The following is a 16,090-nucleotide window of genomic DNA, read 5'->3' as shown; positions in this document are numbered from 1 at the left end:
ACTATGCAATTTTCCAAGCCAGTATAATCTTTTTTTTTCTTTTTTTTTTTTTTTGAGGCAGAATCTCACTTCGTTGCCCAGGCTGGAGTGCAATGGCGTGATCTTGGCTCTTTGCAATGTCTACCTCCACCTCCCGGGTTCAAGCCATTCTCCTGCCTCAGCCTCCTGCGTAGCTGGGATTACAGGCACGTGCCATGACACCTGGCTAATTTTTGTATTTTTAGTAGAGACAGGGTTTTGCCATGTTGGCCAGGCTTGTCTCGAACTCCTGACCTTAGGTGATCTGCCCACCTCAGCCTCCAAAAGTGCTGCGATTACAGATGTGAGCCACCGCGCCCAGCCCAAGCCCATATAATCTGACAGAGTAAATAAAATATTTTGTATAACATTCCACTGGTTACATGACTTTACTGATTATAAGCATTTTATTTTTGCTTTGTTGCTTTTTTCATATTCAGATATATAAACAATCTGTGGAAAATCTTTTACCCACTCCCACAAAATCCCATTATACTTTCAACTTGCGTGATTTTTCACGCGTCATCCGGGGCTGTTTACTCATTGAAAGAGACGCCGTGGCGAACAAACACACTATGATCCGTCTGTTTGTGCATGAGGTTCTCCGAGTGTTTTATGATCGCCTCATTAATGATGATGATCGAAGATGGCTGTTCCAGTTAACTAAAACTGTTATAAAGGACCATTTTAAAGAATCATTTCACAGTATCTTTTCACATTTGAGGAAACAAAATGCACCAGTGAGTATGGCGATTAAGAACATATTGAGTTAAAGCAGTACCATATATGAATTGTTACAATTAAGTTATATTTTTAAAAATCATTTCTTAATGAACATATTCTTTTAGCATTCCTTGTAAATAGGTGTTTGTTTTGAGAAGATTTATCTTCATAGGAAAGTATGTAACATAGAAGTTATTTAAAGAATAACACCTTATGTGATAGGGAATAAATGATATAATAGATATAAAGTGCTTAACATGATGACCATCACTTAGTAACTACTCAATGGGAGTCGCCCAGAATGACTTCTCTAGCCTAACAACAACAAAACATATAAATCTTACTTTTCTTTTTATATCCTAAGGATATAATTTCAGGTATTAATTTTATAAGTGCATTTTTTACTACCCTAATGTTTAAAAACTTAATTACTTTATAACATGGATGAAACAAAAATTTTGTTTTCTTAAATTTATTTTTAAATGTTTTAAGTTTTAAAATTTGTTGATTTCCTTTCTATAGGTAACTGAAGAAGACTTAAGAAATCTCATGTTTGGTGATTATATGAATCCTGACCTTGAAGGAGATGATAGAGTTTATATTGAAATTCCAAATATTCATCATTTTAGTGATGTTGTGGACCAGTGCTTAGATGAGTATAATCAAACACACAAAACAAGAATGAATCTTGTCATTTTTAGGTACCTATATATGGTGTTGATGCTTGAAATTGCTATCTGTAAAATGTTATTATGAAATGTTTGAAATGTACCAAAAGGTGTAAAGAAAAATACAGTGAATGACTTTGTACCCATTATCCAGCATAAAACATAAAATATTAGTAATTTATTTGAAATTCCCTGTTATAGTCACCCTGTCTCACTGCATCCTGTGTCATACGAGTAGTAGTGAAAAGAAACTTGTGTTTCTTTTTTCTTTTTCTTTTTTTTGAGACTGAGTCTTGCTCTGTTGCCCAGATTGGAGTGCAATGGCACTATCTCAGCTCGCTGCAACCTCCACCTCCCGGGTTCAAGCCATTCTCCTGCCTCAGCCTCCCAGGTAGCTGGGAGTACAGGCATGCGCCGGCATGCCTGGCTAATTTTTTTTTGTATTTTTAGTAGAGATGGGGTTTCACCATACTGGCCAGGCTGGTCTCGAACTCCTGACCTCAAGTGATCCGCCTGCCTTGGCCTCCCAAAGTGCTGGGATTACAGATGTGAGCCACCACACCTGGCCGAAACTTTTGTTTCTTAGAACTTTTACTATACATGTATGTATTCGTAAATATGTATGTAGTCTTATTTTGCATATTTTAAAACTGCATATAAATGGTATAATACTGGATATAATCTTCTGCTAGTTGGTTTATTCCATATTGTGAGAGTCACAGAAAAATGAATATTTACCACTATATTGCATTCTATTATATAATTGTACCACAATGCAGTCATTCTTCTGAGACAAATTTTAGGTGACTTCTAGTTTTTGCTATTATAAAAAAGGCTTTGAAAATTCACATCCGTGTCTCCTTGGGTACATGTGTGAGAATTTCTCTAGGCTATTTTCCTATAAGTGGGATTATCATGTCATAGTATATAAGCATCTTCAACTTTACTAAATTTTGCCAAAACATCTTTTAAAGTGATTATTATTTTTGAGAGCTTCCATTATTCTTCACCTTTGCTGATGCTTAGGACTGGCAGATACTGTAAGTTTTTCTAGTCTAAGGAGAGTGAAATGGTATCTCATTATCATTTTAATTTTAATTAACCTAATTACCAGTGAAGCTAAGTGCCTTTTCTGAATTTGTTATTTTATAGGTAATGATCTTTTCTCACATAGAAATCTTAAGAGACTGAAGAAACATATTTAATAAAAGTGATAATATACTGCCAGTATTAGCAGTTAATATTTCATTTTATTTGTATAACTTGTATATCAAATTTCCTGAATTTGAACTTTTAATTAGTTTTCCCCTACATCAAATGATCCAGTTGTAACTGCTTTTGAAAAATCACACTTTTTGATAGTAAACTCTTTAAAATTGGGATAGTAACATATGGGACAGCAGAGTCACATTCTTCTAGGAAAGTGAAACAATAGTTACATGTAACTATACATTTACATTTATATTGTAATGCATTAATAAAATTTTTCTTTTGTGGTAGGTATGTTTTGGAACATTTATCAAGAATATGTCGAGTTCTAAAGCAATCTGGTGGAAATGCTTTGCTTGTTGGTCTTGGAGGAAGTGGTCGTCAATCTTTAACTCGTCTGGCTACATCCATGGCAAAAATGCATATTTTCCAACCAGAAATTTCTAAGAGCTATGGTATGAATGAATGGAGAGAGGATATGAAGGTAAAATTATGAAGAAGCCTAGTATCTAAAATGAAAACAGTATATTCTTTTACTCGTAAAGAGAGAACCAGCCTGTGTAGCTGTGTACTGAACTCCAGTGATGATGATGATGCTAATACTGTCCATAGAGCATCTACTGTGTGTGTTGAGTTCTGTCCTGAGTGCTTTACCTAGCTTTTACCGCTTTTACCTACATGATCTCATTCTATAGGCACAGCAATGCAATGCAGCAGGTGGGTTGTCTCTGTGTTTTACCGAAGCTGAGTGACATGTGACACATAACAGAGCAAGGCTTTCTAACTCAAGTCTTATCCACTACACTATTACCATGGCTGCTGCTTTAAAAAAATATTGATGTATAATATTTGTACATATTTATGAGGTACATGTGATATTTTGATACATGCATAAAATGAATAACTATGGAGTCAGCACATTTAGGATATCTATCACGTAGAACATCGATCTTTTTGTGTTGGGAATGTTGCAAATCTTCTATCTTGAAATATGCAATACATTGTTAAATATAGTTGCGCTATTGTACTATTGAACACTGGAACTTCTTCTAACTGCATGTTCGTACCCATTGAGCTGCTTCTCTTTATCCTCCTCTGTCTGCCTCTCCTTTCTGGCCTCTGATAAGTGTCTTTCTACTCTCTACCTCCATGAGGTCAACTTTTTTGGCTCCTACATATAAGTGAGAACATGTAATGTTTATCTTTCTGTACCTGGCTTGTGCCACTGACTATATATTTATTCCAGTTCAGAGAGGACTTATTTCAGATAAATAAATGGTTTCTAGCAGATTTAACCATGAACCTGATGATGATGTTGATGGCATTAATGTTGTCTTAGTAGTAATCTTAATAGTTTCTTTAGAGCTTTATTGCTGTCCCGGTGACCAACAGGATAGTGGAGTGCATACTTGGGGCTTCGTCCTTATATGCCTAGGGGTCTGTAGCCCCAACAGAGAGATGATACAAAGTGGAAAAAAAAAAGGGAGAAATTGCTGGACTTCTTTCACTTTCACTGACCTTTCACAAACAATTTCTACAACCTAAAATTTAGCATAGAGAAATGGATTTTTCTTTGCTACTTCTAGGCGGAAATGGTAGAATCCAAGCTCATACCAAAGAAATCTATCTACATAGACATGAAAGGAAAATTACACTTACATTGTTTCTTTTTCTGCTTACACTTTAGAGGAAAACTTTTGATGCATTGTCTACCAAATTAACTACAAATTTAGAAATCAGCATACTTCATTTACTACTTCATAGTAGCAAGAACGTGGACTTTGAAATTAGACAGATACAGTATTAGTTCCTGCTTTGCATGATTTGTTAGCTATGTTATTTTTAGCATATTAATAAATCGATCGGTGCTTTAGTTTCTAGGGACTTATCCATTTCTGCTAGGTTATCCAATTTATTGGCATACAATTGTTCATATCATTCTCCTATAATTCTTTGTATTTCTGTGGCATTGGTTGTGCTACCAGAGTGTGCTACTATTTTCATTTCTGATTTTTGTTATTTGAGTCTTCTCTCTCTCTTTTTTTTTGTATTGATCTTCTATTCTCTATTTCATTCATCTCCACTCTAATCTTTATTATTTCCTTCCTAGCTTCCTTGCTAGCTTTGGGTTTGGTTTAGTCTTCTTTTTCTAGTTCCTTGAGGTGTCTAGTTAGGTTGTTGATTTTATGTCTTTCTTCTTCTTCTTCTTCTTTTTTTTTTTTTTTTTTTGAGATGGAGTCTCACTCTGTCACCCAGGCTGGAGTGCAGTGGTGCAATCTCGGCTCACTGCAATCTTCGCCTCCCAGGTTCAAGCGATTCTCCTGTCTCAGCCTCCCAAGTACCTGGGATTGCAGGTGCACACTGCCATGCCCGGATAATTTTTTCTTTTTTTTTTTTTTGTATTTTAGTAGAGATGGGTTTCACCGTGTTGCCCAGGCTGGTCTCGAATTCCTGAGCTCAGGCAATCCACTTGCCTCAACCTCCCCAACTGCTAGGATTACAGATGTCAGCCACCGCGTCTGGCCTCTTCTTTTTCAATATATGTATTTACAGCTACAAACTTCCCTCTCAGCAATACTTTTGCTGCATCCCTCAAGTTTTGGTTTGTTTGTTTTTGTTTTAATTTTCTCAAGATATTTTCTAATTTCCCTTGTGATTTCTTCTTTGACTTACTGGTTGTTTAACAATTAAATTAACAGTTTAATTTTCATATATTGTGAATTTTTAAATTTTTCCTTCTGGCATTGATTTCTAGTTTTGTACCATTGTGATCAGGAAAGATACTTTCTATGATTTCAGTCTTTTAAAATTTGTTAAGACTTGTTTTGTGGCCTAATGTGGTCTATCCTAGAGAATGTTTCATGTGCACTTGAGAATAATATATGTTTTACTGTTGCTGGATGGAGTGTTTGGTAAATATCTGTTAGATCAGTTGGTCTACAATGTTCAAGTCCTCTATTTCCTTATTGATCTTCTGTCAGGTGTTCTATCCATTATTGAAAGTGGGGTATTCAAGTCTCTTACTATTATGGTAGTCCCCCCTTACTTGTGGCTTTTCTTATTGCAGTTTTAGTTACCCACAGTCAACTGTGGTCCAAAAAGAGATAAGCACAGTACAATAAGATATTTTGAGAGTGAAAGGGACCACATTCACATAACTTTTATTACAGTATGTTGTAATAATTGTTCTCTTTATTATTTGTTGTTAATGTCTGGCTGTTAATTTATTAATTAATCTAATCATAGTTATGTATGGAAAAAATAGCATATGTAGGATTCAGTACTATCTGTTGTTTCAGGCATCCACTGGGGGTCTTGGAATGTATCCCCCATGGATAAGGGGGGACTACTGTATTGTGTTGCTGTACAATTCTTCTTTCACTTCTGCCAAAGTTTGCTTCATATATTTAGGATATCTGTGGTTTGGTGCATAAATATTTATACAGTTGACCCTTAAACAACACCAACCCCCAACACAGATGAAAATTCACATATAATTTTTTTTTTTAGATAGAGTCTCGCTCTGCCCCAGGCTGGAGTGCAGTGGCACGATATCAGCTCACTGCAACCTCCACCTCCTGAGATCAAGCGATTCTCATGCCTCAGCCTCCTGAGTAGCTGGGATTACAGGTGCACACCACCATGCTTAGCTAATTTTTGTATTTTTTGTAGAGATGGGGTTTCGCCATTTGGCCAGTCTGGTCTTGAACCCCTAAGCTCAAGCAATCCTCCTGCCTTGGCCTCCCAGAGATCTGGGAATACAGGCTTGAGCCACTGTGCTTAGCCCACATATAACTTTTGACTCCCCCAAAACATAACTACTAATAGCCTAGTGTTGACCAGAAGCCTTACTGGTAACATAAACATTTGATTAACATGTATTTTGTATGTTATATGTATTAAACTGTATTCTTATAATAAAGTACGCCAGATAAAAGAAAATGTTACTTAAAAAATCCTAAGGAAGAAACATATATTGACTATTCATTAAGTGGATGTGGATCATCACAAAGGTCTTCATCCTCACGATCTTCATGTTGGGTAGGCTGAGGATGAAGAGGACGAAGAGGAGTGAGTTGGTCTTGCTGTCTCAGGGGTGGCAGAAGCAGAGGAAAATCTACATATAAGTGGACTCACATAGTTCAAACCTGTGTTGTTCAGTGGTCAACTGTAATTGTTATATCTTCCTGGTAAATTGACCCTTTTATCATTATGTAATATCCTTTCTTGTGGTTGTTTTTGACTTAAAGTCTATTTTTGTCTGATATTAGTATAGCTATCCCTGCTCTCTCTTAGTTACCATTTGGCTGGTATATCTTTTTCCATTCTTTAGCTTACATATTTCCTTGGATCTAAAATGAATCTCTTGTAGGCAGCATATTAATGGATCTTTTTTTTAATCCATTTGGCCACTCTATGTCTTTTGATTGAGGAATTTAATCCATTAAATTTAATGTAATTACTGATAGGGAAGGATTTATTATTGCCATTTTGATATTTGTTTTCTGTGTGTCTTGTAGCTTCTTTTTTTCCTCATTTCTTCTTTTATTGCCGCCTTTTATGTTATGATGATTTTTATTTGTAGGGGCATTCTTTATTCCCTTCTCATTTCCTTTTGTTTATATTCTATGTTTTCTTTGTAGTTAACCATTACTACTACATAAAACAACCTAAAGTTATAGCAAATTATTTTAAACTGCTAACAACCTAACTTCAGTTGCATACAAAAATGTTACCCCTTTATAGCTCCACCCCTCCCCCATTTTTTGTTCTGGATGTCACAAATTGTATCTTTATATATTATGTACTAATTAACATACATTTATAAGGCATGTTTTTGTTTTTTAGAATTAAAAGTAGATTTATGCACCAAAATTACAATAATACAGGATTCTCTATTTCTCCACATGTTTACTTTGACTGGAGAACTTTATACTTTTGTATGGCTTCATGTTACATTCTAGGTTCTTTTGTTTCAACTTGAAGGATTCCCTTTAGCATATCTTGTCAGGCAGATATAGTACTAAGGACTCCCTCGGTGTTTGTTCATCTGGAAAGGTTTTAATTTCACCTTCATTTTTGTAAGGCAGCTGTACCAGATACATTGTCCTTGGTTGACAGGTTTTTATCTTTCTGCAATTAGAATATGTCACCTTACTTCCTTCTGGTCTGTAAAATTTGTGCTGAGAAATTCACTGCTAATCTTAAGGTAATTCCCTTGTAGATGACAAGTTGCTTTTCTCTGGCTGCTTTCAGGATTTTCTCTTTGTATCTGACTTTTGACAGTTTGATTATATTGTTTCTTAATGTGGATTTCTATGACTTCATCCTAGTTGGAATTCATTGATCTTCCATAAAATGGAATTTTTATATCCACTTCTTTCCTGAGATTTGAGAAATTTTCAGTCATTATTTCTTGAAAAAGCTCTCTGTCCTCTCTTTCTCTCTCTCATATTCTGGGATTTCCATAATGCATATATTGGTCCACTTGATGGTGTACCATAAATCCCTTAGGCTTGCTCCACCTTCGTTTATTGTTTTTGTTTTGTTTTTGCTCCATTAACCCGGTGATTTCCAACGACTTGTTTTCAAGTTGGTTGACTCTTGATTCTGCCCAATCAAGTCTAATGTTGAACCCCTGTAGATAATTTTTTAGTTCAGTTTTATGTTTTGGGTCCAGAATTTATATTTTATAGTTTCTATATCTTTGTTAATTCTCATTTTGTTCATGCATTGTTTTCCTGATTTAGCTCTGGGTTCCTTTCAGCTCATTGAGTATCTTTAAGGTAGTTATTTTAAATTTTTTGCTAGTCAGTTCATAGATCTGCATTTCCTTATGGTTGGTTTCTGGAGCTTTATTTTGTTTCTTTGACTGGGCCACGTTTCCTTAATTCTTTGCATCCCTTGTGATCTTTTTGAGAGCTGACCATTTGAAATACAGCCACCCCTCCCAATCATTATGACTGGCCTCATGCAGGGAAGATCTTCACCAATCAACCTAGCTAGAGGTTCTGGGACCTTTCAGACATTTTCTGGGGACGTGTCTTCTTTGAGGTTGTATGTGTGCTTTTATTGTTGCATGTATGAGTGCTTTTGACTGTCTTAATTTCCTGTTTCTTCTCAGGAGCTTTCAGTTGCTGATTCCGTTGTATTCCTCTGCCCTTGATCTCTTGCTCTCCCTGGTGCCTGCCAGTAGAACTGCAGCTTCTGCTGCTCTAACCCACCAGGGAACTCACCTATGTTTCAGTGGCCTCCAACCTGGTGTCCAAAATTGGCCATTGTTCCTGTTAGCACCTGAAGGCAGGTGAAACAGCCCCCACACAAGCCAGTATTCTGGGCTCAAGTTCAACTATATTTCTTCTGTCCTGAGGAAGGAGCCATGATTTGGATGGTATTCTCTAGATCTCCCCAAACTGTGCCCAGCTGGGGGAGGAGCTAGAGTGAGAAAAATTTGAGGTACTGTCTTACCCTTTTGGGAACAGTCCCTTCTCTTGTTCATGCTCTTTTCTGGGTGCTGCAGCCACTTAACTAGTTTCTAAAGTCCTTACAAAGGTAATTGTGTTCTGTATATTGCTAATACATGTCTTCAGGGGAGAACAAGGGTCTAGAGCTTCCTAGCCCATTATCTTGCTGATGGTCACTTTCTAGATTTTTCATTTGTAAAATTTGGGTAATACCACCTATTTCAAAGATTATTGTGGTTAAATTATATAATGTATGTAAGGATTTTCATAATATTCCTGACATATAATTAATATCTATTTTTTTGAGATGGACTCTCACTATGTCACCCAGGCTGGAGTGCAGTGGCACGATCTCCACTCACTGCAACCTCCACCTGCCGAGTTCAAGTGATTCTACTGCCTCAACCTCCCTAGTAGCTGGAATTATAGGTGCCCGTCACCATACCTGGCTAATTCTTTTTTTCCTGTATTTTTAGTAGAGACGGGATTTCACCATGCTGGCCAGGTTGGTCTCGGATCACCTGAGGTCAGAGGTCTGAGACCAGCCTGGCCAACATGATGAAACTCTGTCTCTCCTAAAAATACAAAAATTAGCCAAGTGTGGTAGAACAGACCTGTAATCGCAGCTACTCAGGAGCCTGAGGCAGGAGAATCACTTGTAGTGGAATGCACCTGTAATCTCAGATACTTGGGAGGCTGAGGCAGGAGAATCACTTGTAGTGGAATGCACCTGTAATCTCAGATACTTGGGAGGCTGAGGCAGAAGAATCACTTGTAGTGGAAAGCACCTGTAATCTCAGATACTTGGGAGGCTGAGGCAGGAGAATCGCTAGAACCTGGGAGGCAGAAGTTGCAGTGAGCCAAGATCATGCCACTGTACTCCAGCCCAGTCAACAGAGCAAGACTCTGTCTCAAAAAACAAAAAAAAAATCACGATGATGCTCATGACAATAAGTTAAATATGTTTGTTTATATTGTATTGTAAATTTTATTTTAAATTAAAATGTTTATGGTTCTCTTTTTTTTTTTTTTTTTTTTGTTTTTTTTTTTGAGATGCAGTCTTGCCCTTGTTGCCTAGGCTAAAGGGCAATGACACAATCCTGGCTCACTGCAACCTCTGCCTCCCAGGTTCAAGCGATTCTCCTGCCTCAGCCTCCCAAGTAGCTGGGATTACAGGCATGTGCCACCATGCCCAGGTTATTTTGTATTTTTCGTAGAGATAGGGTTTCTCCATGTTGGTCAGGCTGGTCTCGAACTCCCAACCTCAGGTGATCCACCTGCCTCAGTCTCCCAAACTGCTGGGATTACAGGCCTGAGCCACCGCGCCCAGCCTAAATTAAAATTTTTAAATTTTTAATTTAAAATAAGACAGAGTGAGATGTCTCACTCTGTCACCCCAGCTGGAATACAGTGGCATGATCATAGTTCACTGCAGCCTCAACCTCCCAGGCTCAAGCAATCCTCCCACCTCACCCTCCCTAGTAGCTGCCTGTGAGACTACAGACATGTACCACCATGCCCAGCTAATTTTTATTTTTTTTATTTTTTTAGAGACAGGCTCTCATTATGTTGTCCAGGCTGCTCTCAAACTCCTGGGCTCAAGAAATCCTCCTGCCTCACCCTCTCAAAGTGCTCAGATTATAGGGGTGAGCCACTGCACCCAGCCTAAGATTTATTTTGATATAATATTAATAATTATAAACCTGACATGATTTGATACAATACTACTTTAAAAACTAGACTCTCTAGTTTTGATGACAGAAACTTATTTCTAAGAACAAAACAGGCTTCATATTGGAAGATGGCTTTAATGGGAAAAGGACATAGTTGTTTTTGTGTACAATATAAAAATCCACCATTTATTTTATGGAGTGAAAATATTAGTTAATATTTAATGATTTAAAATACATAGTTTTACAATATAGAAGGTTATTTTTAAAAATAACTTAGAGAAGTTGTAATGCTATTTTCACTGTGAACTACAGCCAGTTTGTATGCTGACAAATGTTTAACAACCAGCTTTCCAGGACCGGGGGTGAGAGAGAGCCTGATGGTAGATTTTCCAATTTCCATGATGTAAAAACTCCCACCATGGCTGATTTGAAGCTCCCAACGCTGTCACTGAGAATAGAACTGAAAAGAGATATGCATGGAACATCATGACATTGTATTTTACTATATTGATACAATAACTTGAAAAACTTTCCAGAGCATAGATAATAGTAACATAATAAAATAGGAGATGATGATATTTACGCATTTACCTCCCTTTTAAATATAATTATATTTTTATATAATTGCAAGTTTATATAATTCAATTTTTAAATCCTGGCTATGTTTTACAAACTACTGACAAGTTCCTGAAATTTTAACAATCGGTTCTAACAAGCCTATACAAGTCAGCTTCAGCACACTACTGAGCCCATATCTTATATTAGGAATTTGGGTTGCAGTTGACCCCTGCATAAAAACCCCAGCCTGTCTACACTGAAGCGTCTAGAGGTAGATAGGCTTTTGACATAGCTGAATTTGGGGTCTTAAATTATTTCCTTAGTAATTACTCTTTCTGTCTCCTGACACAACTCTCCTCCATTTGGCTTCCTTCTCCAGCAGGCTCATACCATGAGGCAAACAGTTAGCTCCAAGTAATTTAGGTTACTGGCCTTTATATATTCCATCTCAGAACAGCCAGGATTCTCTCTGTTTCAAGTCTATCTCAGTCCCTGAAGTAAGACTATGATTGGGCCCTGCTTAAATCATATGCCATCCTCTGAATCAGTGATTATGTCTAGGGTTTTGGGGAAACTCTGACCAGTTTGGATCTCCCACCCAGGGGACGGAGGCAGTGGAGGTCCCAGTTGACAGCCCCAGTAGAAGTGGGGAGAGGTACTGCCCTAAAAATCAAAGTGTTGTTATCAAAGGAAAGGGAAAGTGAGGGAAATCAAAACCAACAGATGTCTACCATATTCTGCTTACAAGTCCATTTTTATTTTAAGGGTCTGTTAAGGAATGTGGGCATGAAGGGCCAGAAGACCGTCTTTCTTATCACGGACACTCAGATTAAAGAGGAAGCTTTCCTAGAGGATATCGACAGTGTGCTCAATACAGGAGAAGTGCCTAACATTTTTGCAGCAGATGAGAAGCAGGAAGTGATGGAGGTAAATGCTTTTGGGGAAGTGCTGCTTCTAGCACAAAAACTTTATTTCTTGAAACTGTTTCTCTGCTCTTCAGGATAAATATAGTTTGTACATATGAGTTTGGGGGTAATTAAAAATTTAAAGTATATTAGTTTAATACATCATTGTTTGGTGAATTTTAAATTGCTTCTACCATAGTTATGAGGCATAATTTTTATAACTCCTATCTTCATCATAATGGCAGTTTGTTTCACCTGTTTAATGTTATTTAGCATGTTTTATGAGTGATTGGAGATTTTTAAATCATCTCTTAAGGTTACATTGATGTAAGAAAACATGATTTTAATGCTACTTTATTAGTCTTTGTGGTTTACACTGGTTAGTAAATTTTTTTAAAGTTTTAATAAAACTATCTTATGGGTTTGATACATCTGAAAGTCTTGTTTGTGATTTAATTGACAAAAAATACAATGGTGACGTGTCTGCTACTATCACCTACTTTAACCCTCATTTCTTTTTCTTTTTCTTTTTCTTTCTTTCTTTTTTTTTTTTTTTTTTTTTTTTTTGAGACAGAGTCTTGCTCTGTCACCCAGGCTGGAGTGCAGTGATGTGGTCTCGCCTCACTGCAACCTCCGCCTCCCGGGTTCACGCCATTCTCCTGCCTCAGCCTCCCAAGTAGCTGGAACCACAGGCGCCTGCCACCAGGCCCAGCTAATTTTTGTATTTTCAGTAGAGACGAGGTTTCACCGTGTTAGCCACGATGGTCTCAATCTTCTGATCTCGTGATCCGCCTGCCTCGGCCCCCCAAAGTGCTGGGATTACAGGCGTGAGCCACCTCGCCCGGCCACTTTAGACCTCATTTCTAAGATGAAAGTAATGTCACACTTTCTCATTACCATAATCACTTTTACCCACAAAATATATCACTCACACCTGGATATTTAATTCCCAACCTCCAGCCATAACATCTGGAGTGAAAAGGACTCACACTTTCAAGTACTCTGCTTTTCTCTTCCATGAAATGGCAGCACAGATAAGAGTTCTTCCTACATGGGGTTGTTGTGAGGTTTGAGAATCAAACAAAATAAAGCACTTATGTAGTGTCAGGCACTTACACAGCTCTCAGTAAATGGTGCATTACCAGTTCATGGTATGGAGCGTGAAGGGATAAAAGAGGACAAAACAACAACAACAACAACAAAAACCCATGTTCTTTGCTTTTATCTGGGATATGTCAGAGATGTGACCAAGGCTGTAAATTAGTGGTACTCTCCTGATTTATAGGAGAAATGCATCCTCCATATGCCCATCCAAGGAATAGTCACCTTTGGGGAATGGAATTTCCTAAGCTTTGCTAGGCTTTCCTGCTTCTTTAGCTATTATCTATCTTTTCTTCCCATCACTTTGCTACTAAACTTTTCCATTGCTTCACTATTTCTGTTTTATATTTGCTATTTTATATACATCTTTATTTTTTAAACAGGATCATATTCTATATACTGTCGCAAAACTTTTTTTTTAGTTATTTTATCCTGCTTATCTTCCCGTAGCACAAAATACACTGTGTGTGTGTTTTTTTGTTGTTTGTTTTTGTTTTTGTTTTTCTAGAGATGAAGTCTCACTGCTCTGTTGCCCAGGCTGGAGTGCAGTGGTGCAGTCATAGCTCACTGCAGCTTCGAACTCCTGGGCTCTTACCTCAGCCTCCCAAGAAACTAGGATTCCAGGCATGAGACACCAATTTATTATTTTTAACTGTTGTATAAAATGCTAATATGTGGATATTTTACATTTATAACTAGTTCCTTACTGATTGATACTTCAGCTGTTTACATTTTTTTCTCTTAAAAACAATGTAAAATTATATTTCTATACATCTTGGTGAATTTTGTGATTATCTTTAAGGTAAATTCTTGGCAGATAACTTGTTTTTAAATTATAGAATTTTGGAGTTGGAAGAGGTTTTCTAAGTACAAACTATGTCAAAGCCATTCTATTGATATAAAACCAAAATTTTACAGATATTTACAGGGTGCAATAAAACTTCTTCATATTCTAATATCCACCAATCTCATTACCAGCTCATCTATTTTTATTTACAAGGTTTTTATTTTCTGATATTCCCTAGGGTGTTCGCCCAGTAGCTCAGGCTGGCAATAAACATGATGAACTCAGTCCCTTAGCTCTGTTTGCTTTCTTTGTGAATCGCTGCAAAGATAATCTTCATGTCGTGGTGGCCTTTAGCCCCATTGGAGATGCCTTTCGAAATCGCTTGAGACAGTTCCCATCCCTCATCAATTGCTGTACCATTGACTGGTTTCAGGTTTGTAATTTTTCTTGGTTGGAGGGGGAGGCAACTAACTCTTTTGGAATTTTACTGAAATATTTGAAAAACTTTATTAATATACATTCAGCAAGTGTTTCTTGATCACTTACTGTAATGACAGGCATAATGTTCAGCACCAGAGACTGATAAGACTACATGATCCTCACAAGGAGCTTACACTGTAGACTGGAAGACAGAAAAAGCAGTCAGTAATCATGATTATATAAGAGAGCCATAATGTTGATGTGCAAAGGGTATATATACGAAGGCAGTGAATTTCTGAGTCATGAAGATGAGTTAGTTACATAGAGAGGGAGTGTATTAGGAATCAATAGGAAATTTGTATGTAAAGAAATTTATTATGAGGAATTGGCTCATATGATTATGAAGCCTAAAAAGTCCCAAGATCTGCAGTTGGCAGGTGAAAGCCCAGGAAAACCAGTGATGTAGTTCCAGTCTGAAGGCCGGCAGGCTCAGGATCCAGAAAGAGCCAATTCAGTCCAAGGCTGAAGGGAGGAAAAAAAATAATGTCTTAGCTTGAAGGCAATCATACAGGAGGAATTTGGGGGAGGGTCAGCATTTTTGTTCCATTGGATTGAACAAAACTGGACAAGGACAATTGGATGCAGCCCACTGACATTAGGGAGGGCACTCTGCTTTACTCAGTGTATAATGATTTAAATGTTGAATGCATGTAAAAACACCCTCACAGAAACACCCAGAATCATGTTTGACCAAATATCTGGGAACCTCATAGCCCAGTCAAGTTGACTGACACATAAAATGAACCATTATTAGAGAATAGTACTTGGAAAAGGAGAAGGGTGGGGAGAGGATGGCTCATCTGCCCCACTGAAAATTGTTTGGTATAGCTGGCTGGCATTTTAAGGGCAGCAGCAGTTGAGTTGGAGCTTTGGGTGGGTACCAGGTTACAAAGACATTGGCAAGGTATTCCCAGGAATTTGGTTTTATACCAGAGATATCACAGTAGCATCAACATATTTTTAGATAATCTGCATTTAGGAAAAAACCAAAGCAGTTGGAAGCTGTGTGGTAGGTGAATTGGAGTAGGGCAAAACAAGAGACAGGAAAACCAACTGGGCAACAATTTCAGTCATGCTGGAAGCAAATGATGAAGGCCACTGCCTCACCTAAGACAGACTGTCACTGCCTGTTTAATACAATTTGGTATTCATACTCTTGAGAACAGTAGCTCATGGTACCTTCTATTGTTTTATGCCCAATAGAATGTGGACTGTGCATTGACCCTGGATAATTAAAAGAAAAAAAATAGTTTCTGGTACTGATTTGTTTTATTCTCTTTGCCTATTTATTATGAACTGCATTCTGGTTTTGTTTGGGAAATCACCCTCCATGTAGCTGTGTATCAGAGGGATTGAATCATGGTTGGTCTAAGTATATATATATATATATATATATATATTTTTTTTTTTTTTTTTGAGACAGGATCTCTGTCGCCCAGGCTGGAGTGCACTGGTGCAATCACAGCTCACTGAAACCTCTGCCTCCTGGGCTCAAGCAATCCTC

The 16,090-nt window shown here is 37.5% G+C and overlaps 1 protein-coding gene across 9 annotated transcripts in view; it reads left to right on the top strand.

The window, feature by feature from the left end:
* DNAH12 (dynein axonemal heavy chain 12) overlaps window positions 1-16,090 on the top strand; it is a 262,335-nt gene that overhangs the window by 149,624 nt on the left and 96,621 nt on the right. For all 9 annotated transcript variants that reach the window (XM_047447667.1, XM_011533468.2, XM_047447668.1 and 6 more), the window contains 5 exons: window positions 459-758; window positions 1,264-1,442; window positions 2,910-3,102; window positions 12,079-12,240; window positions 14,345-14,539. In XM_047447667.1, the coding sequence (XP_047303623.1) occupies window positions 459-758; window positions 1,264-1,442; window positions 2,910-3,102; window positions 12,079-12,240; window positions 14,345-14,539 (1,029 nt within the window). The remainder of the gene's footprint in view (window positions 1-458; window positions 759-1,263; window positions 1,443-2,909; window positions 3,103-12,078; window positions 12,241-14,344; window positions 14,540-16,090) is intronic.

This window comes from Homo sapiens, chromosome 3 (assembly GCF_000001405.40).
Source record: "Homo sapiens chromosome 3, GRCh38.p14 Primary Assembly".
Lineage (NCBI taxonomy): Eukaryota > Metazoa > Chordata > Mammalia > Primates > Hominidae > Homo > Homo sapiens.
The sequence above is the reverse complement of the archived record's forward strand: the minus strand, read 5'-3'. Positions and strand labels throughout refer to the sequence as shown.